This window comes from Homo sapiens, chromosome 7 (genome assembly GCF_000001405.40).
Source record: "Homo sapiens chromosome 7, GRCh38.p14 Primary Assembly".
Lineage (NCBI taxonomy): Eukaryota > Metazoa > Chordata > Mammalia > Primates > Hominidae > Homo > Homo sapiens.
The window spans coordinates 106,711,399-106,731,779 of record NC_000007.14 but is presented as its reverse complement, the minus strand read 5'-3'; the positions used below and the strand labels follow the sequence as shown (position 1 = coordinate 106,731,779).

At 39.0% G+C, this 20,381-nt stretch overlaps 3 annotated features.

The window, feature by feature from the left end:
- Positions 291-340: an enhancer, noted in NCBI's record as "active region_26489". NCBI's record gives its function as "activates an Ori minimal core promoter by ATAC-STARR-seq in GM12878 lymphoblastoid cells {active_cell/tissue: GM12878}" and the evidence as "EXISTENCE:reporter gene assay evidence [ECO:0000049][PMID:35858748]".
- Positions 10,698-10,957: an enhancer, noted in NCBI's record as "active region_26488". NCBI's record gives its function as "activates an Ori minimal core promoter by ATAC-STARR-seq in GM12878 lymphoblastoid cells {active_cell/tissue: GM12878}" and the evidence as "EXISTENCE:reporter gene assay evidence [ECO:0000049][PMID:35858748]".
- Positions 12,477-13,676: an enhancer, noted in NCBI's record as "P300/CBP strongly-dependent group 1 enhancer chr7:106358550-106359749 (GRCh37/hg19 assembly coordinates)". NCBI's record gives its function as "activates an origin of replication core promoter dependent on BRD2, BRD4, P300/CBP, MED14 and CDK7 cofactors, with strong dependence on P300/CBP, by STARR-seq in HCT116 cells {active_cell/tissue: HCT116}" and the evidence as "EXISTENCE:reporter gene assay evidence [ECO:0000049][PMID:35650434]".

Here is a 20,381-nt window from a genome sequence, read left to right as displayed (position 1 = left end):
CCTCAAGATAATTAAAACCACAGGGCTGCCCATAGGACATGCACTTAATTCCTTAGAGGAAGTCGGTAACCAGTGACTGTAGAGGCCAAGACTCTATAGCCTATGTGAAATTTTGGGACTTTTGTAATTTTCCATGTTTCTCATTTGTATTATTTTCTATTTTCTGTTGGGGTTATTACAAAAATTCACATAACAAAAAGGGCCAATAATCTTGTCATCTGGGATCGTGTGTGTACACATATGCACATGTATGCATTTATAGTGTGTTTGTATGCTGGATATAGCTGATTGGCACTCAGCCATTTCCAGCTCTTTTTTTGAATGCTGGAAACCACGTTTCCCTGACTCCTTTGGATGAATTTATTAAATACGCTTTGTTTTACATGTAGAAAGCAGAAGTGAAACAGAAGCCACCTTCCTTCTATTGTCTGTTTTTCTGTGTGTGAACAAGATCTTGGACCATCTCCAAGATCTCACGTTTTTCTGAAGTGGTGTTCTAGTGTTCAGACATTAGCTTCATAGATGGTTATAGGCAGTTGTGGTGTGGCAGCAGTAGCTTCTCGATCCTGACTTTCTGATCCTGGGACACAGCTATCCTTGTGGGTTCATGAACTCAAAAGTTCCAGTGTCAGCCTGCTGGCTACTCACCATCCTGATTGCTGCAGAGCAAGTAGCTTGCCTGGATAGTCAGTTCTGCATTGTTCTAGGAGTTATTCCTGGGGGCCCAACCTTGAGCCTGCTCCTCCAGCCATTCTAGTTCATATGTAAACACCCAATTTCCTTTATTAAATTCCTTTGTGCTTAATACAAATAGATAGGTTTCTATATTTTGCCCTGAACCTTTATTATCATTGTATGTTTGTGTTAGTAGAGGGGACTGGTATGGGGGCAATGAAAATGGGGGGATGATGCTCAGCTCTAAACCTTTCTATGACATAGGGGGGTATAGGGACCCTACAGGTGAGAGAATGGTGGCCTCAATGGAAAGATTAGCTGGGACCTGAGAAGATCTTCTGGATCAGAGGGGGAATGCAAGGAAAAGGCGTTTGGGGTTCCCAGAAATCCTCCCTCTGACTCTACTGAACTTGGGGCTACAAAGAAAGTAGGTCTTAGGTGAATTTCTTGAATCAGTAGTTAATTGTGTTTAGTATCTTATTTATTGTTTTGCGTATGCATTGTTTTCATTCTAAATTTCTAGAAGCTTATTCTCCTAAGTAGTTTTTATACTCTCAGTGTAATCATAGTACACTTAGAAAACCCCAATTTCTTTTTCTTTCCTTTTTTCATCCATAGGTGAGAGGTAACTTGAGTATGGTCTCCATTGAAACTCATACGCCTATCCCTAAATTTAGTAGAAAAAGAAAGAAACTTACTTAGGGCAAACATGGTGACAATTTCCAAGATGATTAAAGTAACACTGAGGCCTTAATGTATCATACAGTGCTGGCAGGGGAAGTAATTCTTTCATTCAATTCAACAAGTACTTGTGAGGTGTATTAAGCTTTGTCACTTCCTGGGCCTCCACCCCCTCTCCCTCTTCTCCAGCTTAGCCACTCACTTTCATGACACACCTTGGAACCTGTCATCACCTGGAACTGTACCACCTCTGCAGTCTTTACCTCTGATGTACCATTATCTGATTATAAACTCCTACTTGGCAGATGGATTTGCCTTCTATTTCAGTGAGGAAGTTGAGGTTTCTAGTTGGGAATTTCCTCAACTTTTTGACTTCAGCCAATGACCTTATTTAAACCCATAACCTGATATCCATAACCACTTCTTTTACTCAGTCTTAAATCAATAATTTAAAAAAGTTTTTATTAACACATAATTCAGATAACATACAATTTCCCCATTTAATGCGTACAATTCACTGGTTTTTAGTATTTTCACAGAGTTGTGCAACCATCACCACAATAAATTTTAAATCATTTTCATCACCACAAAGAGAAATCCCTTGGCCATCCGTCCTCATTCCCCCATTGCTCCTAGCTCTAGGAAACCACAAACCTACTTTCTTTCTCTGTGAATTTCCATATTCTGGACATTAAATATAATGGAATAATACAATATATAATCCTTTGTGACTGTCTTTTTTCACTTAACATAACGTTTTCAAGGTTCATCCACACTGTGTCATGTATCAGTTCTTCATTCCTTTTTGTGGTTGAATAATATTCAAGTGTATGCTTATGCCACATTTTATTTATACATTCATTAGTTGATGGACATTTGGGTTATATCTAACTTTTGCCTATTATTAAGAATGCTACTATGAATATTCACACACAAGGTTTTATGTGGACATATGTTTTTATTTCTCTTGGGTATATACCTAGGAGGGGAATTGCTGAGCTGTATGGTAGCACTATATTTAATTATTTGAAAAATTGCCAGACTGTTTTCCAAAAGATGTACTATGTTACATTTCCATTAGGAGTGCATGAGAGTTCCAATTTCTTTGCATTTTTGCTAACTTGTTATTATCTAACTTTTTGATTAGAACCATCATAATCTGCATGAAATAGCAGCCCATTGTAGGTTTGATTTGCATTTCCCTGAGGCTAATGAAGTTGATCATTTTTTTCATGTGCATATTGGCCATTTATATATCTTTTTTGGAAAAATGTCTATTCAGGTTCTTTGCTTTTTTGAAAATTATTTGTCTTTTTATTGTTAAGTTGTAAGGGTTCTTTATATATTCCACACACAAGTCCTTCATCAGATATATGATTTGCAGAAATTTTCTCCCATCCTATGGGTTGCCTTTTTAATTTCTTAATTGTGTGTTTTGAAGCAGGAAAGTTTTTTTTTTAAATGCTATGATATCCAATTTACCTATTCTTTTTTGTTGTTGTTGCTTATATGTTGGGTGTCGTAGCTAAGAAATCATTGCCTACTACAAGGTCATGAAGATTTACCTCTGTTTTTCTAAGAAGTTTATAGTTTTAGCTTTTACACTTAGTTATTGGATCCTATTTGAGTTGATTTTTATACAGATGTGAGGTAGGATCTAACTTCTTTTTTTTCAGATTGTGTCAGCACCATTTATGGAAAGACTTTTATTTTCCCATTGAATTGATTTCCCTTGTTGGAAATCAATTCAATGGGAAAAAATTTCCCTTGTTGGAAATCAATTGACAGTAAGTGTGAGTTTACTTATAGATTTTTAATTTCATTCTATTAATCTGTATGTCTTATCTTATGCCAATACCACACTGTCTTGATTACTGTAGATTTTGTAGTAAGTTTTGAAATGGGGAAGCGTGAATCCTCCAACTTTGTTGTTTGTTTTCAAGGTTGTTTTAGCTCTTCTGTTTCTTGCGCTCTCATATAAATTTTAGGATCAGATTATTGGTCCAGAATTTTGATGGGAATTGTGTTGAATTTGTAGATCAGTTTGGGGAGTATTGCCATCTTAACAATATTAAATTTTCCAATCCATGAACATGAGGTGACTTTCCATTTATTTAGGTGTTCTTTAATTTCTTTCAGCAATGTTTTGTATTTTTCAGAGTATAAGTTTAGTACTTCTTTTGTTAAATTCATTCCTAAGTATTTTATTCTTTTTCATGCTATTGTAAACAGATTTTGTTTTCTTAATTTCATTTTTAGTGTATTCATTGCAAATGTATAGAAACACAATTGATTTTTTAAATATATTTTTATTATACTTTAAGTTCTAGGGTACACATGCACAATGTGCAGGTTTGTTACATATGTATACATGTGCCATGTTGGTGTGCTGCACCCATTAACTCATCATTTACATTAGGTATATCTCCTAATGCTATCCCTCCCCCCTCCCCCCACCCAACAACAGGCCTGGTGTGTGGTGTTCCCCTTGCTGTGTCCAGGTGTTCTCATTGTTCAATTCCCACCTGTGAGTGAGAACATGCGGTGTTTGGTTTTCTGTCTTTGCAATAGTTTGCTGAGAATGATGGTTTCCAGCTTCATCCATGTCCCTATAAAGGACATGAACTCATCATGTTTTATGGCTGCATAGTATTCCATGGTATATACATGCCACATTTTCTTAATCCAGTCTATCATGGATGGACATTTGGGTTGGTTCCAAGTCTTTGCCATTGTGAATACTGCTGCAATAAACATACGTGTGCATGTGCCTTTATAGCAGCATGATTTATAATCGTTTGGGTATCTACCCAGTAATGGGATGGCTGAGTCAAACAGTATTTCTAGTTCTAGATCCTTGAGGAATTCCCACAGTGTCTTCCACAATGGTTGAACTAGTTTACAGTCCCACCAACAGTGTAAAAGTGTTCCTATTTCTCCACATCCTCTCCAGCACCTGTTGTTTCCTGACTTTTTAAAGATCACCATTCTAACTGGTGTGAGATGGTATCTCATTGTGGTTTTGATTTGCATTTCTCTGACGGCCAGTGATGATGAGCATTTTTTTTTATTATACTCTAAGTTTTAGGGTACATGTGCACAACATGCAGGTTTGTTCATATGTCTGTTGGCTGCATCAGTGTCTTTCTTTTTTTTTTTTTTTTTTTTGTGGCGGATTCTCGCTGTCTCCCAGGCTAGAGTGCAGTGGCGCAATCTTGGCTCACTGCAGGCTCCGCCCCTCCGGGGTTCACGCCATTCTCCCACCTCAGCCTTCCGAATAGCTGGGACTACAGGCGCCTGCCACCTTGCCTGGCTAATTTTTTGTATTTTTAGTAGAGACGGCGTTTCACTGTATTAGCCAGGATGGTCTCAATCTCCTGACCTTGTGATCTGCCCGCCTCGGCCTCCCAAAGTGCTGGGATTACAGGCGTGTTCAATGTCTTCTTTTGATAAGTGTCTGTTCATATCCTTTGCCCACTTTTTGATGGGGTTGTTTGTTTTTTTCTTGTAAATTTGTTTGAGTTCTTTGTAGATTCTGGATATTAGCCCTTTGTCAGATGGAAAGATTGCAAAAATTTTCTCCCATTCTGTAGGTTGCTTGTTCACGCTGATGGTATTTTCTTTTGCTGTGCAGAAGCTCTTTAGTTTAATTAGATCCCATTTGTCAATTTTGGCTTTTGTTGCCATTGCTTTTGGTGTTTTAGACATGAAGTCCTTGCCCATGCCTATGTCCTGAATGGTATTGCCTAGGTTTTCTTCTAGGGTTTTTATGGTTTTAGGTCTAACATTTAAGCCTTTAATCCATCTTGAATTACTTTTTGTATAAGGTGTCAGGAATGGATCCAGTATCAGCCTTCTACGTATGGCTAGCCAGTTTTCCCAGCACCATTTATTAAATAGGGAATCGTTTCCCCATTTCTTGTTTTTCTCAGGTTTGTCAAAGATCAGATGGTTGTAGATGTGTGGTATTATTTCTGAGGGCTCTGTTCTGTTCCATTGGTCTATATCTCTGTTTTGGTACCAGTACCATGCTGTTTTGATTACTGTAGCCTTGTAGTATAGTTTGAAGTCAGGTAGCGTGATGCCTCCAGCTTTGTTCTTTTGGTTTAGGATTGACTTGGCAATGCGGGCTCTTTTTTGGTTCCATATGAACTTTAAAGTAGTTTTTTCCAATTCTGTGAAGAAAGTCATTGGTAGCTTGATGGGGATGGCATTGAATCTGTAAATTACCTTGGGCAGTATGGCCATTTTCATGATATTGATTCTTCCTGTCCATGAGTGTGGAATGTTCTTCCATTTGTTTCTATCCTCTTTTATTTTGTTGAGTAGTGGTTTGTAGTTCTCCTTGAAGAGGTCCTTCACATCCCTTATAAATTGGATTCCTAGGTATTTTATTCTCTTTGAAGCAATTGTGAATGGGAGTTCACTCATGATTTGGCTCTCTGTTTGTCTGTTATTGGTGTATAGGAATGCTTGTGACTTTTGCACATTGATTTTGTATCCTGAGACTTTGCTGAAGTTGCTTATCAGCCTAAGGAGATTTTGGGCTGAGATGATGGAGTTTTCTAGATATACAATCATGTCATCTGCAAACAGGGACAATTTGACTTCCTATTTTCCTAATTGAATACCCTTTATTTCTTTCTCCTGCCTGATTGCCCTGGCCAGAACTTCTAACACTATGTTGAATAGGAGTGGTGAGAGAAGGCATCCCTGTCTTGTGCCAGTTTTCAAAGGGAATGCTTCTAGTTTTTGCCCATTCAGTATGATATTGGCTGTGGGTTTGTCATAAATAGCTCTTATTATTTTGAGATACGTCTCACCAATACCTAATTTATTGAGAGTTTTTAGCATGAAGGGCTGTTGAATTTTGTCAAAGGCCTTTTCTGCATCTATTGAGATAATCATGTGGTTTTTGTCTTTGGTTCTGTTTATATGCTGGATTATGTTTATTGATTTGCGTATGTTGAACTAGCCTTGCATCCCAGGGATGAAGCCCACTTGATCATGGTGGATAAGCTTTTTGATGTGCTGCTGGATTCGGTTTGCCAGTATTTTATTGAGGATTTTTGCATCGATGTTCATCAGGGATATTGTTCTAAAATTCTTTTTTTTTGTTGTGTCTCTGCCAGGCTTTGGTACCAGGATGATGCTGGCCTCATAAAATGAGTTAGGGAGGATTCCCTCTTTTTCTATTGATTGGAATAGTTTCAAAAGGAATGGTACCAGCTCCTCCTCTTACCTCTGGTAGAATTTGGCCATGAATCCGTCTGGTCCTGGACTTTTTTTCGATGGTAGGCTATTAATTATTGCCTCAATTTCAGAGCCTGTTATTGGTCTATTCAGAGATTCAACTTCTTCCTGGTTTAGTCTTGGGAGGGTGTATGTTTGGAGGAATATATCCATTTCTTCTAGATTTTCTAGTTTATTTGTGTAGAGGTGTTTATAGTATTCTCTGATGGTAGTTTGTCTTTCTGTGGGATCGGTTATGATATCCCCTTTATCATTTTTTTATTGTGTCTATTGAATTCTTCTCTCTTTTCTTCTGTGTTAGTCTTGCTAGCAGTCTATCAATTTTGTTGATCTTTTCAAAAAACCAGCTCCTGGATTCATTGATTTTTTGAAGGGTTTTTTGTGTCTCTATCTCCTTCAGTTCTGCTCTGATCTTAGTTATTTCTTGCCTTCTGCTAGCTCTTGAATGTGTTTGCTCTTGTTTCTCTAGTTCTTTTAATTGTGATGTTAGGGTGTTAATTTTAGATCTTTCCTGCTTTCTCTTGTGGGCATTTAGTGCTATAAATTTCCCTCTACACACTGCTTTAAATTTGTCCCAGAGATTCTGGTGTGTTGTGTCTTTGTTCTCGCTGGTTTCAAAGAACATCTTTATTTCTGCCTTCATTTCGTTATGTACCTAGTAGTCATTCAGGAGCAGGTTGTTCAGTTTCCATGTAGTTGAGCAGTTTTGAGTGAGTTTCTTAATCCTGAGTTCTAGTTTGACTTCACCGTGGTCTGAGAGACAGTTTGTTATAATTTCTGTTCTTTTACGTTTGCTGAGGAGTGCTTTACTTCCAACTATGTGGTCAATTTTGGAATAAGTGTGACGTGGTGTTGAGCAGAATGTATATTCTGTTGATTTGGGGTGGAGAGTTCTGTAGATGTCTATTAAGTCCAGTTGGTGCAGAGCTGAGTTCAATTCCTGGATATCCTTTTTAACTTTCTGTCTCTTTGATCTGTCTAATGTTGACAGTGGGGTGTTAAACTCTCCCATTATTATTGAAACACAGTTGATTTTTGTAAATTGATCTTTTTGTCCCTTTTCACCCTCACCTTTGATGTAAATTGATCTTTTATTCTGCAACTTTGCTGAACTCGTTTATTAGTTCTAATTGTGTTTTTAGTGTATTTCTTAACATTTTCTATGTATTAGATTATGTCATTTGTAAATAGAGGTAGTTTAACTTATTCACCTTTCAAAGCAAAAAATAATTAAAGTGCACTTATTATGTCTCAGGCAATGTGCTAAGTTCTTTGTTTACATTAACTCTGATCTTAGAGTAGCAGGGAAATTCAGAAGCTCTCCTGGCCCCCAACAGTTTCCCCCACATAGAGTTTAATTGGAACATGCATAGAGCTGACTCCATTTCATCTGAATGATAAAGAGATCAATCAATGAAGACTGACACAATTTTTTTCTGTGGTATAGTTTTGCTCAAACAAGACAGAAAATGTGTCCATTGTTCCAGAAAGGAGAAGGGCAACACCATGCTGATAGGAGAATGATTGTTTTCTCAGCACAAGATTAGACCTTGTCTGGCTCATCTTGATAGGGAGTATTTCTGTCATAGGCACTAGATATGTCACAGTTCTCTCTAGTGGAAACTCCAAACGGGGCTTAGAGCTCTTGTGTTCACTCTTGCTCACAGTTTGAACCCAACCTCTTCTGTTCTGCACCTTCAGAGGCCAGTGTTAATTGACAGAGGAGAGCCTTGACAAGCATCTGACTACTTAGTTGTGAGGCTTTGTGTGTAATAGCAAACATGGGATGCCTCTAGGGGTGGCACAGCCTCCTACAGGAGAACATGGATTTTTCGGAAGGAGGTGAGTTGAGTCATCAAACAGAGAATCTTAAAGGGGAGACTGGGTACTGGGATATCTGAAATCAAACTGGGGCTGAGAGGTTGGAGTACAGGTTAGCAGGCAGAGAGGAGGCAGCCTCTTTATAAAAGTTAGTCCCGGCTGGGCACAGTGGCTCACGCCTCTAATCCCAGCACTTTGGGAGGCCAAGGCCGGCAGATCACGAGGTCAGGAAATTGAGACCATCCTGGCTAACACGGTGAAACCCCGTCTCTACTAAAAATACAAAAAATTAGCCAGGCGTGGTGGCACACACCTATAGTCCCAGCTCCTTGGGAGGCTGAGGCAGGAAAATCGCTTGAACCCAGGAGGCAGAGGTTGCAGTGAGCTGAGATCGTGCTACTGTACCACAGCCTGGGTGACAGAGCGAGACACCATCTCAAAAAAAAAAAAAAAAAAAAAAAGCTACTCTAGAAGGCTTCTCTGGGGAGGTAAAAGGAAACAGCTATGTTCACCATGAATTTATTCTTTATTTGCACTACAATATTGTTGTAGATGGGATTGTCTGGAAGTTGATACAGAGATAGAGTTTAGGATGTCAAATATTTTTTGGAGATTAGCATCTGTAAAAGGAAGGGAAAAGAAGCAGGATGAGGGTAAAGGTGAATTCAGGTCCAAAAAAGCCTCAGCAAACCTGAATGGAAGCTCCAGAACAAATATTTCACAACAGAGTTGTCTCACATCTGACCAAAATGGACAGAATTGTATACCCCTGTGTCGATTAGTCACTAGATGCAGGCTGCTTGGGAATATGTGAGGTCGGATCTCAAAGCTCTCTGAAGTTTAGGCAAATGCTGAAAAATAAGTCAGCTGGAGACTGTTGTTTGCACTCATGGCTGCTTGGCAGCAAGTCCTTCCTTGGAGGAGAATCTGGGTACCTCCATATCTCTATATCTACTATAACTGTATCCTATTTGAAGAACTGAATCTACTTATTAGTCTGAAGTGTTTGGTATGGTGAAGGCTGTTGGGTCGGCTACTTCCCCATTCTTCCTCCTGTGAACTTTTGTGGCAAATGAAGACCTAGTCATGTTCCCCTTCCACCATGCATGGATTTTGATGTAAAAGACATCTTGTTTGTGGGCCATGAGAGACATGATCATCCCTTAGGTTGGGAGTACCTCTCTCTTCCTCTCTATGGTTTCTGGAAATGCTTTAACAGTCTTGAGGAATTATCATAAAGGACGTATCCATTTTTCTCTTCATTCCTTTCTTGGTGCCTCCTCTTGTTTTCCTGCCAGATGGGGTCACTGTATATGTATGGCCTTAACTCTTGGTTCTTGCTCTCCTGCTACTTGCCTCAAAAATGGATAACGACTGGGACCTTTCTCATATCTTATCTCCAGTGTGGTAAATAGACTGGGCAGAGTGTCCCCTCTAGCTCCTCTGCCTGGCTGGGAATGCACATTCAATACAAGGGAAAGGCATTTTGACCTCAAGCCCAAACTATTTTCTTCATTCCAGCTTTACCATGAATAAAACTGATACTTTGATATCCATTGGTCACATGAGTCTGTTCTCAATTTGGAAGAAGCTGGAAGAAATGAGGTAGTGAATGACTAGGTTCTCCCAAATTCCAACAACCAGGAGGTGTTTGGGGAGATCCTAGGTACAAAAGTGAGGTTAATTCTTTTGATTTCCGTCATAGTGGTGAATGCCTGGCCATATCAGGTTGCACATAAAACAAACATACAAGGTGCGCATAAATCCATTTTAACAGACGAGGAAAACTCAGGCCCTAACAGATTACTTCACACTTAAGAGGAAGATAAACTTGAAATCAGTTTATCCTTCCCAGTCACTTTTTAACCCATTTCAAGCAAGCATCCTTCATAACCACTTCACTGAAATTGCTCTTGCCAAGGCCACCAAAGGACCTTGTTTTTGCTAACTCTATCAGATACTCTTTAGTCTCCAACATTTTTGACATCAGGGACTGGTTTCCCAGAAGACAATTCTTCCATGGGAAGGGGTGGGAGGTTGGGGGGGAATAGTTTTAGGACGAAACTGTTCCACCTCAGATCATCAGGCATTTGTTAGAGTCTCATAAGGTGAACACAACCCAGATCCCTCAAATGCACAGTTCACACTAGGGCCCTTGCTCCTATGAGCATCTAATGCCCCCTAAAATCTGAAGGAAGTGAGCTTAGGCAGTAATACAAGCAATGGGGAGCTGCTGTAAATACAGATCAAACTTTGCTCGATCGCCAGCCACTCACCTCCTGCTATGCGGCTCATTTCCTAACAGGCCATGGATGGGCCCCTGCTTTAGAAATTATCCAGCTGTTTAAACGCTCACTTCTTAGCAGCTTCTGACATTGACCTTTCTTCACTCCTTGCTTCTTCTGGTGCTGCTTTGTTCTTCTGCTTCCTTTCCACTGGCTTCCATGCTGTACACTCACTGTGGTGCTCACCTCTCTGGCCATACCTTCTTTGGTATGGCCAAACTTCTCACACTTTCAGTGTTCATGTTCCCCATTGTTCTGCTTTTGGTCTTCATGGTAGGTGATAGGGTCTGGCTCACTCACCACACGTTTCAGTTCAGCTTCCTTATAATATGTGGAAGGCAGAAAGCTCAACACACAAAGCCAAAGCAAAACAAAGCAAGCCATTCTTCAAATGTCCTAGAGTTCTGGGTATAATTTACCTTCTGACAATCAGACAGATACATTGTATGAGACTTAGATTTGCAGTTAATCTAGGAGGAGAGAGTCAAGGCACAGGGTCATATTTTTGCTGGTGGAGATTTTAGTGAACGTGATGTGGTTTGGAAGCAAGTAGTGTTAGTAATTTCTCACATGGCAGTTTGCTAATTTTACAGATCCCTGATCATTTTTAAGGCAGCAGCTCCTTCAGCTACCCAGTTCTGTAGTGTGGCTTTGGGAATTGTTTCTAGAACCTTAGAATGGAGTCTTTTTTTATTAGCTTTTTAAAGTAAGCCATTTAATATTCTGTAACAAACCCCTTTCCTCTTAAACCAGCTACAGTGGATTCTGTTCCTTGTAACTGAATACTGACAATACAGTACTGGTTAGTTTGGAGGTTTTTATGTTTTTCTTAAAAAAAATTCAATAGGCCATTGATGGGCAATATTACCCAGTACCACATATAAATGTCTTCTAATTGTATATCTGCAGACTAGGCAACTCTACTAAGCTCCAGATTTATATATCCAACTGCCTACTGGACATCTGTATCTGGTTGTCAAATAGTGTATCCAAAACTAAACTAGTATTTTCCCTTAATCTTTTATTTGCTTCCCATCCAGATATATGACCTAGAAATTGTATAGCTTTCCTATACTTTGTTGCCATCTTTCTCAACTTCCCGTCAGTTCCAAGACCTGGTGATTCTAGTTACTAAATATGCCTTGTGTCCAAACCCTTCTCTCTCTCTCTCTCTGCTACTAGTACCTTAGTTCTTATCTAGATTATTTGAACAGTTTTCTCTTGTTCTTCTCCTTTTCCTCATCCTTTTCCTTCTCTTCTTCTAGGTTTAAAAATATGTCTTGAAGATAAGCCTGTTTTTTGTTTTCACATGTTAACATGTCTAAAATTGGGATGCGTCTTATAATCAATGGTGTCTTGTACTTGCTTTCAGCCAAGAAGTTGTTCTAACATAGTGATTGTTATCTACTTGTACAAACTTGGTTTTTAGGACGATATGAGTAGACCACAGCAACTCCTTGATATTTTATTCAACAATCATTAAAGGGCCATTTGAGGAAGGAATATGGTCCTGATTCTTGTATAATAAACTTTTATTGACAATTTCTGGTAAACTCAAGATTTGAGAGCAGCAAAAGCTACAGAATGGGTGCCGGTAGCCTGGGAGGAAACCTCAAAGACAGTATTGGAGCACTTTTTGAATAGATACTACACATCACTAATACTCTGGATAGAACAGGGATCAATATCAGGTGATTTTAGGCTGTGGAGTGGTGAGATGCGGTGGAGGAACAATTTTTAAAGTGAGCAAAAAAGATCTTTTCTCTCAGAAATATTACATCTATCCACACCCAAAGTATATCTTTTTTCTTTTTTGAGATGCAGTCTCACTCTGTCACCCAGGCTGTAGTGCAGAGGTGCAATCTCGGCTCGCTGCAACCGCAGCCTCCCAGATTCAAGTGATTCTCCTGCCTCAGCCTCCTGAGTAGCTGGGATTACAGGCACTCGCCACCATGCCTGGCTAATATTTATATTTGTTGTAGAGACAGGATTTTGCCATGCTGCTCAGGCTGGTCTTGAACTCCTGAGCTCAAGTAATATGCCCATCTTGGCCTCCCAAAGTGCTGGGATTACAGGCATGAAAGATCCTTAAGACCTAAATTTTTATCTTGAGTTAGCCTTGGCTTCTGTTTATATGTGGTAAAAATTGTTTTTAAAGAATAATCTCAAGTATTCTGGAAGACAGGTATCTCCAAATTGATGAACATTTTTTTCTTCAAGAATTTTTCAGTAATGATGATTTTGTTTCCTTCATCTCCAGTAGGCAGTCATGGCAACTTGGTAACTTGAGTCACGTATCTGAAAAATGATAATGAAATGGTAGTATACCTTGCACAATAAAGACAGTGGCCATTAAATATTTTTAAATAATGCGAAAGTATTTATCACCAGTTGCCAGTAGTCATGCTCAGTAATTTCCTCCCTGGCTTTGCTCTGCCCAGATATCTTTAAAAGAATGCTGTAAATGTCACAACTCATTATGAAGCTGAACATATTACAGCATGAAAAAAACAAATGCTACTTTTCTAACCATAGTAAAAAGTTGTTTAATGCAATTCTTTTAAACATGTGCTTATCTTCTTTCATCTTCTACCCAGTTCTGCACCCTTCCCCCACACATGACTATTAACTAAGTCACAATGAATGCTCCCATTGCCTCCTACTCAGCTGAATCAACATTTCCGGAGGCTGTGACTAATAAAAGCCACAGCCCATGGTATGCTTGACTTTTGAAAATCCTGATTAGCTTTAAGGGCATAATTATGTGTACCTCTACTTATAGAATGAGGAAGTTGATTTGAGCTATGTCTCTAAATTACACTAAAAACTACAAAAATGAACTACAAAAATGACTTAATGAAGTCAGACTTCATTAAGATTATTAACTTATTTGGCTTTTAAAAAAATGTATTGACTGATTACTTAGGTATTCTGAGATCATCATGGTGTAAACTAAAGCATTTGGCTAATAGGATACTTAATGGTCCTTTGCTTTGCTATTCATGGCTCAAAATAAAGGGAAGTGTAGAAAAGGAAAGATCTAATCTCTGAAAGGCAATCTAACAGAAACTATATCTCTGAACATAATTTTGTTGGTTAATTACCATGGAGATAAATTAATCCAAGAAAAAGGAGAGTGCTTCATAACTCCAAAAACAAATGAGTCTCTTCCAGTAGTGTCACTGTGTATTTGTCGTTGAACTGTGAGTACACTTTTAATTTCTCCCAGAAAGAGGATCCACTAAGAAAAAGCAAATTGTGCATTACTTTGGGTGCTCCCCTTTGATTGACAGCTATGCCCATAAGGTAAACTTCCCTTGGCTTAGTGTCCACTCCTGTCCAATAAGCAGGGCAAGATCACTGGATACTGGCCACTCAGAGGAGACCATGGGCCTAGCAGAAATGATAGGTAGGATTAAATAATTTACTTTTCTTCTTCCAATCACAGCCAAGTGCTTTGAAAATGTAGTGTTCAATTTTCTGTCTTCAGTTTCCCATATCCCCTTAGATTCTCAGCTCCTTGTACTCTGCTTCTGTCCCCAACACTCAAGTGAACTTCTCAAAACAACTCTTACTGATGCCCTAATTGCCAAATACAGTAGACTGTTCTCTGTCCTTATGTTTCTTGAAGTTGTTTAAACAGTTGGCATAGTTGACAATCCTTAGATTTCTCTGGAGATTTCCCTTCTAATGCTTCAGTTACTTCTTAGCTTCTTTTCTCTTCCATTTTTTTCAACCTATTATCATTGGCTTCTTCTCCATAGCCTTTTACCATGCTACAGGTTCTACCACATTAAAGGAAAGTTCTTTCCCCTAAATTTGTAATTCTTCTTAGAGATCACCCTATATTTTTCCAACTTCATTATTAACCCCCCAAAATAATATAAACCATTCTCTGCACTTTATCATTGCTCATTTACTCTAAAGCTCTCCATAATGAGGCTTACATCCCATTAACCTAGTGAAGTGGCTTCTGCAAAGTCATTAAAGATTTTCTAACTATTTAAAATCCTCATGTTATTTAACTTCTCTTTCCAGCACTTGACTATATTGATCACTTCCTTCATAAAATTCTCCTCCTTGGTTTCCATTACATTGCTCTTTGCTGGCTCTCTTCTTGCCTTTCTGGACATTCTTTTTCAGGCTTTCCACCTGTTAAACACTGATGCTTCCCATCATCTTGGCCCTTTTCTCCTCACAGTCTAAGCAATCCTAGCATAAGCTCACTCGTTTTCATGGCTTTACCCACCCCACACATGCTGACGACCTGTATGTAGTCTACAGAAGTTGGTATCTTGTACTTTTGCTTCTGCTGTACAGTGTTGCCTTTGACTGAGGGTCTTCTGCCAGCTTTGGAGCACTTCTCTGGGAGAGATAGTGAAGGCAGCCCTCTTCATCAGTGCAGAATTTGCCCCAGGAACCCTTTTTTCTGCTCTCAAAGACCAAGACACTATGTTTATCTCCTCTCTCAACTCCCAGGGCCCCTTTGGAAATATAATTCTGGTGGTCCTATGAATTAAGCTTTGAAAACAAAATCCTTTTAACTGTTTTGTAAGGTAAACAAATACCAGACCTCCAGGACACACTGCTTGGTTTCTAGATATTCTACCCCTATTTCAAGTATAGCATGTCTGCCAGGCCCGAATGCTGGGTGCCATCTTGTGCTCCTCATCCTCCTCATTTCCTGTGTTGAGCCAAACCTGTAGATTTTATTGTCTAAATGTCCTTAAAAACCACTCTCTTGGCATGTCCTTGGTGGCATTGCCTCTATTCAAGCCCTACTTACCTCCTTCCCTTGCCGTTTCCTCCAGTATTCCTTCCTCCAATTTGTCTTCCACACTGTTGTTAGAGGGATCATTTAACTATAGATCTGGTTACATTTATGTCTTACTTATAAAATATTTTTATGGCTAGCTTTCCAGTGATTTTATGAGATGCTCAACCTTCTCAGTGTGTTGGGCAAGGCTTTTGATACTCCTCCTTGTGTTCTCTCTTGCCTTGTCTCTTGCTATCCTGTGCACCTACGATACATATTTTCTCTAGTTTCTGTGTCTACTTGTACATGTTGGTCTCTCTGTCTATAATGCCTCTTCCTCCATCTACCCTTTCCCACCTATTGCCTTCACCAACATCTACTCATCAGGGAAATGCAAATTAAAACCACAATGAGATACCATGACATATCTATCAGAACGGCTAAAATTACAAAGACATACAATAGCAAGTGTTGGCCAGGATGTGGAATAGTTAGAACTCTCATACATTGCAGGTAAGAAAATATATTGGCTCAAATACTTTGGAAAGCTGTTACCTATGAAAGCTAAACACATTTAAAATCATTTCAGAATCATCAGATCCTGTTAGAAGCAGTGGGCTCCAAATCCATGTTCTCCTAGCATTTTACTATGGCATTATCACACTTGCTTATTTTCTTATTTGTTTTTCTCAATAGACTGTGGCATCTTTCAGAAGCAAGAGCTGGTTTTTTTGTTTTTTTAATTATACATTAAGTTCTAGAGTACATGTACACAACGTGCAGGAGGTTTGTTACATATGTATACATGTGCCATATTGGTTTGCTGTACCCATTAACTCATCATTTACATTAAGTCTTTCTTCTAATGCTATCCCTCCCCTATACCCCCACCCTATGACAAGCCCCGGTGTGTGATGTTCCCCATGCTGTGTCCAAGTGTTCGCATTGTTCAATTCCCACCGATGAGTGAGAACATGTGGTGTTTGGTTTTCTGTCCTTGTGATAATTTCCTCAGAATGATGGTTTCCAGCTTCGTCCATGTCCCTACAAAGGACATGAACTCATCCTTTTTTATGGTTGCATAGTATTCCATGGTGTATACATGCCACATTTTCTTAATCCAGTGTGTCATTGATGGACATTTGGGTTGGTTCCAAGTCTTTGCTATTGTGAGTAGTGCCTCAATAAACATACATGTTCATGTGTCTTTATAGTAGCATGATTTATAATCCTTTGGACATATACCAAGTAATGGGATCACTGGGTCAAATGGTACTTCTAGTTCTAGATCCTTGAGGAATCGCCACACTGTCTTCCACAATGATTGAACTAGTTTACACTCCCACTGACAGTGTAAAAGCATTCCTATTTCTCCACATCCTCTCCAGCACCAGTTGTTTACTGATTTTTTATGACCGCCATTCTAACTAGTGTGAGATGGAATCTCATTGTGGTTTTGATTTGCATTTCTCTGATGACTAGTGATGATGAGCATTTTTTCATATGTCTGTTGGCTGCATAAATGTCTTCTTTTGAAAAGTGTCTGTTCATATCCTTTGCCCACTTTTTGATGGGGTTGTTTGCTTTTTTCTTGTAAATTTGTTTAAGTTCTTTGTAGATTCTGGATATTAGCCCTTTGTCAGATGGGTAGATTGTAAAAATTTTCTCCCATTCTGCAGGTTGCCTGTTCACTCTTATGGTAGTTTCTTTTGCTGTGCAGGAGCTCTTTAGTTTAATTAGATCCAATTTGTGTATTTTGGCTTTTGTTGCCATTGCTTTATGTGTTTTAGTCATGAAGTATTTGCCCATGCCTGAGTCCTGAATGGTATGGCCTAGGTTTTCTTCTAGGGTTTTTATGGTTTTAGGTCTAATATTTAAGTCTTTAATCCATCTTGAATTAATTTTTGTATGAGGTGTAAGGAAGGGATCCATTTTCAGCTTTCTACATACGGCTAGCCAGTTTTCCCAGCACCATTTATTAAATAGGGAACCTTTTCCCCATTTCTCGTTTTGTTCAGGTTTGTCAAAGATCAGATGGTTGTAGATGTATGGTGTTATTTCTGAGGCTTCTGTTCTGTTCCATTGGTCTGTATCTCTGTTTTGGTACCAGTACCATGCTGTTTTGGTTACTGTAGCCTTGTAGTATAGTTTGAAGCCAGGTAGTGTGATGCGTCCAGCTTTGTTCTTTTTGCTTAGGATTGACTTGGCAATGCGGGCTCTTTTTTGGTTCCATATGAACTTTAAAGTAGTTTTTTCCAATTCTGTGAAGAAAGTCATTGGTAGCTTGATGGGGATGGCATTGAATCTATAAATTACCTTGGGCAGTATGTCCATTCTCACGATATTGATTCTTCCTGTCCATGAGCATGGAATGTTCTTCCATTTGTTTCTGTCCTCTTTTATTTCATTGAGCAGTGGTTTGTATTTCTCCTTGAAGAGGTCCTTCACGTCCCTTATAAGTTGGATTCCCAGGTATTTTATTCTCTTTGTAGCAATTGTGAATGGGAGTTCACTCATGATTTGGCTTTCTGTTTGTCTGTTATTGGTGTATAGGAATGCTTGTGATTTTTGCACATTGATTTTGTATCCTGAGACTTTGCTGAAGTTGCTTATCAGTTTAAGGAGTTTTGGGGCTGAGACAATGGGGTTTTCTAAATATACAGTTATGTCATCTGCAAACAGGGACAATTTGACTTCCTCTTTTCCTAATCGCATACCCTTTATTTCTTTCTCCTGCCTGATTGCCCTGGCCAGAACCTCCAACACTATGTTGAATAGGAGTGGTGAGAGAAGGCATCCCTGTCTTGTGCCAGTTTTCAAAGGGAATGCTTCTAGTTTTTGCCCATTCAGTATGATATTGGCTGTGGGTTTGTCATAAATAGCTCTTATTATTTTGAGATACGTCCCATCAATACCTAATTTATTGAGAGTTTTTAGCATGAAGGGCTGTTGAATTTTGTTGAAGGCCTTTTCTGCATCTATTGAGATAATCATGTGGTTTTTGTCTTTGGTTCTGTTTATATGCTGGATTATGTTTATTGATTTGCATATGTTGAACTAGCCTTGCATCCCAGGGATGAAGCCCACTTGATCATGGTGGATAAGCTTTTTGATGTGCTGCTGGATTCTGTTTGCCAGTGTTTTATTGAGGATTTTTGCATCAATGTTCATCAGGGATGTTGGTCTAAAATTCTCTTTTTTTGTTGTGTCTCTGCCAGGCTTTGGTATCAGGATGATACTGGCCTCATAAAATGAGTTAGGGAGGATTCCGTCTTTTTCTGTTGATTGGCATAGTTTCAGAAGGAGTGGTACCAGCTCCTGTTTGTACCTCTGGTAGAATTTGGCTGTGAATCCATCTGGTCTTGGACTTTTTTTGGTCGGTAGGCTATTAATTATTGCCTCAATTTCAGATCCTGTTATTGGTCTATTCAGGGATTCAACTTCTTCCTGGTTTAGTCTTGGGAGGGTGTATGTTTGGAGGAATATATCCATTTCTTCTAGATTTTCTAGTTTATTTGCATAGAGGTGTTTATAGTATTCTCTGATGGTAGTTTGTATTTCTGTGCGATCAGTGGTGATATCTCCTTTATCATTTTTTATTGCGTCTATTTGATTTTTCTCTCTTTTCGTCTTTATTAGTCTTGCTAGCGGTCTATCAATTTTGTTGATCTTTTCAAAAAACCAGCTCCTGGATTCATTGATTTTTTGAAGGGTTTTTTGTGTCTCTATCTCCTTCAGTTCTGCTCTGATCTTAGTTATTTCTTGCCTTCTGCTAGCTTTTGAATTTGTCGCCTTCTGCTTCTCTCGTTCTTTTAATTGCGATGTTACGGTGTCGATTTTAGATCTTTCCTGCTTTCCCTTGTGGGCATTTGGTGCTATAAATTTCTCTCTACACACTGCTTTAAATGTGTCCCAGAGATGCTGGTACGTTGTGTCTTTGTTCTCATTGGTTTCAAAGAACATCTTTATTTCTGCCTTCATTTCATTATTTACCCAGTAGTCATTCAGGAGCAGGTTGTTCAGTTTCCATGCAGTTGAGCGGTTTTGAGTGAGTTTCTTAATCCTGAGTTCTAATTTGATTGCACTGTGGTCTGAGAGACAGTTTGTTGTGATTTCTGTTCTTTTACGTTTGCTGAGGAGTGCTTTACTTCCAACTATGTGGTCACCTTTGGAATAAGTGCAATGTGGTGTTGAGCAGAATGTGTATTCTGTTGATTTGGGGTGGAGAGTTCTGTAGATGTCTATTAGGTCTGCTTGGTGCAGAGCTGAGTTCAAGTCCTGGCTATCCTTGTTAACCTTCTGTATTGTTGATCTATCTAACATTGACAGTGGGGTGTTAAATTCTCCCATTATTATTGTGTGGGAGTCTAAGTCTCTTTGTAGGTCTCTAATGACTTGCTTTATGAATCTGGGTTCTCCTGTACTGGGTGCATATATATTTAGGATAGTTAGCTCTTCTTGTTGAATTGATCCGTTTCCCATTATATAATGGCCTTCTTTGTCTCTTTGATCTTTGTTGGTTTAAAATCTGTTTTATCAGAGACTAGGATTGCAAATCCTGCTTTTTTTTTTTTTGCTTTCCATTTGCATGGTAGATCTTCCTTCATCCCTTTATTTTGAGCCTATGTGTGTCTCTGCACGTGAGATGGGTTTCCTGAATACAGCACACTGATGGGTCTTGACTCTATCCAATTTGCCAGTCTGTGTCTTTCAACTGGGGCATTTAGCCCATTTACATTTAAGGTTGATATTGTTACGTGTGAAATTGATCCTGTCATTATGATGTTAGCTGGTTATTTTGCCTGTTATTTGATGCAGTTTCTTCCTAGCATCAATGGCCTTTACAATTTGGCATGTTTTTGCAGTGGCTGGTGCTGGTTATTCCTTTCCATGTTTAGTGCTTCCTTCAG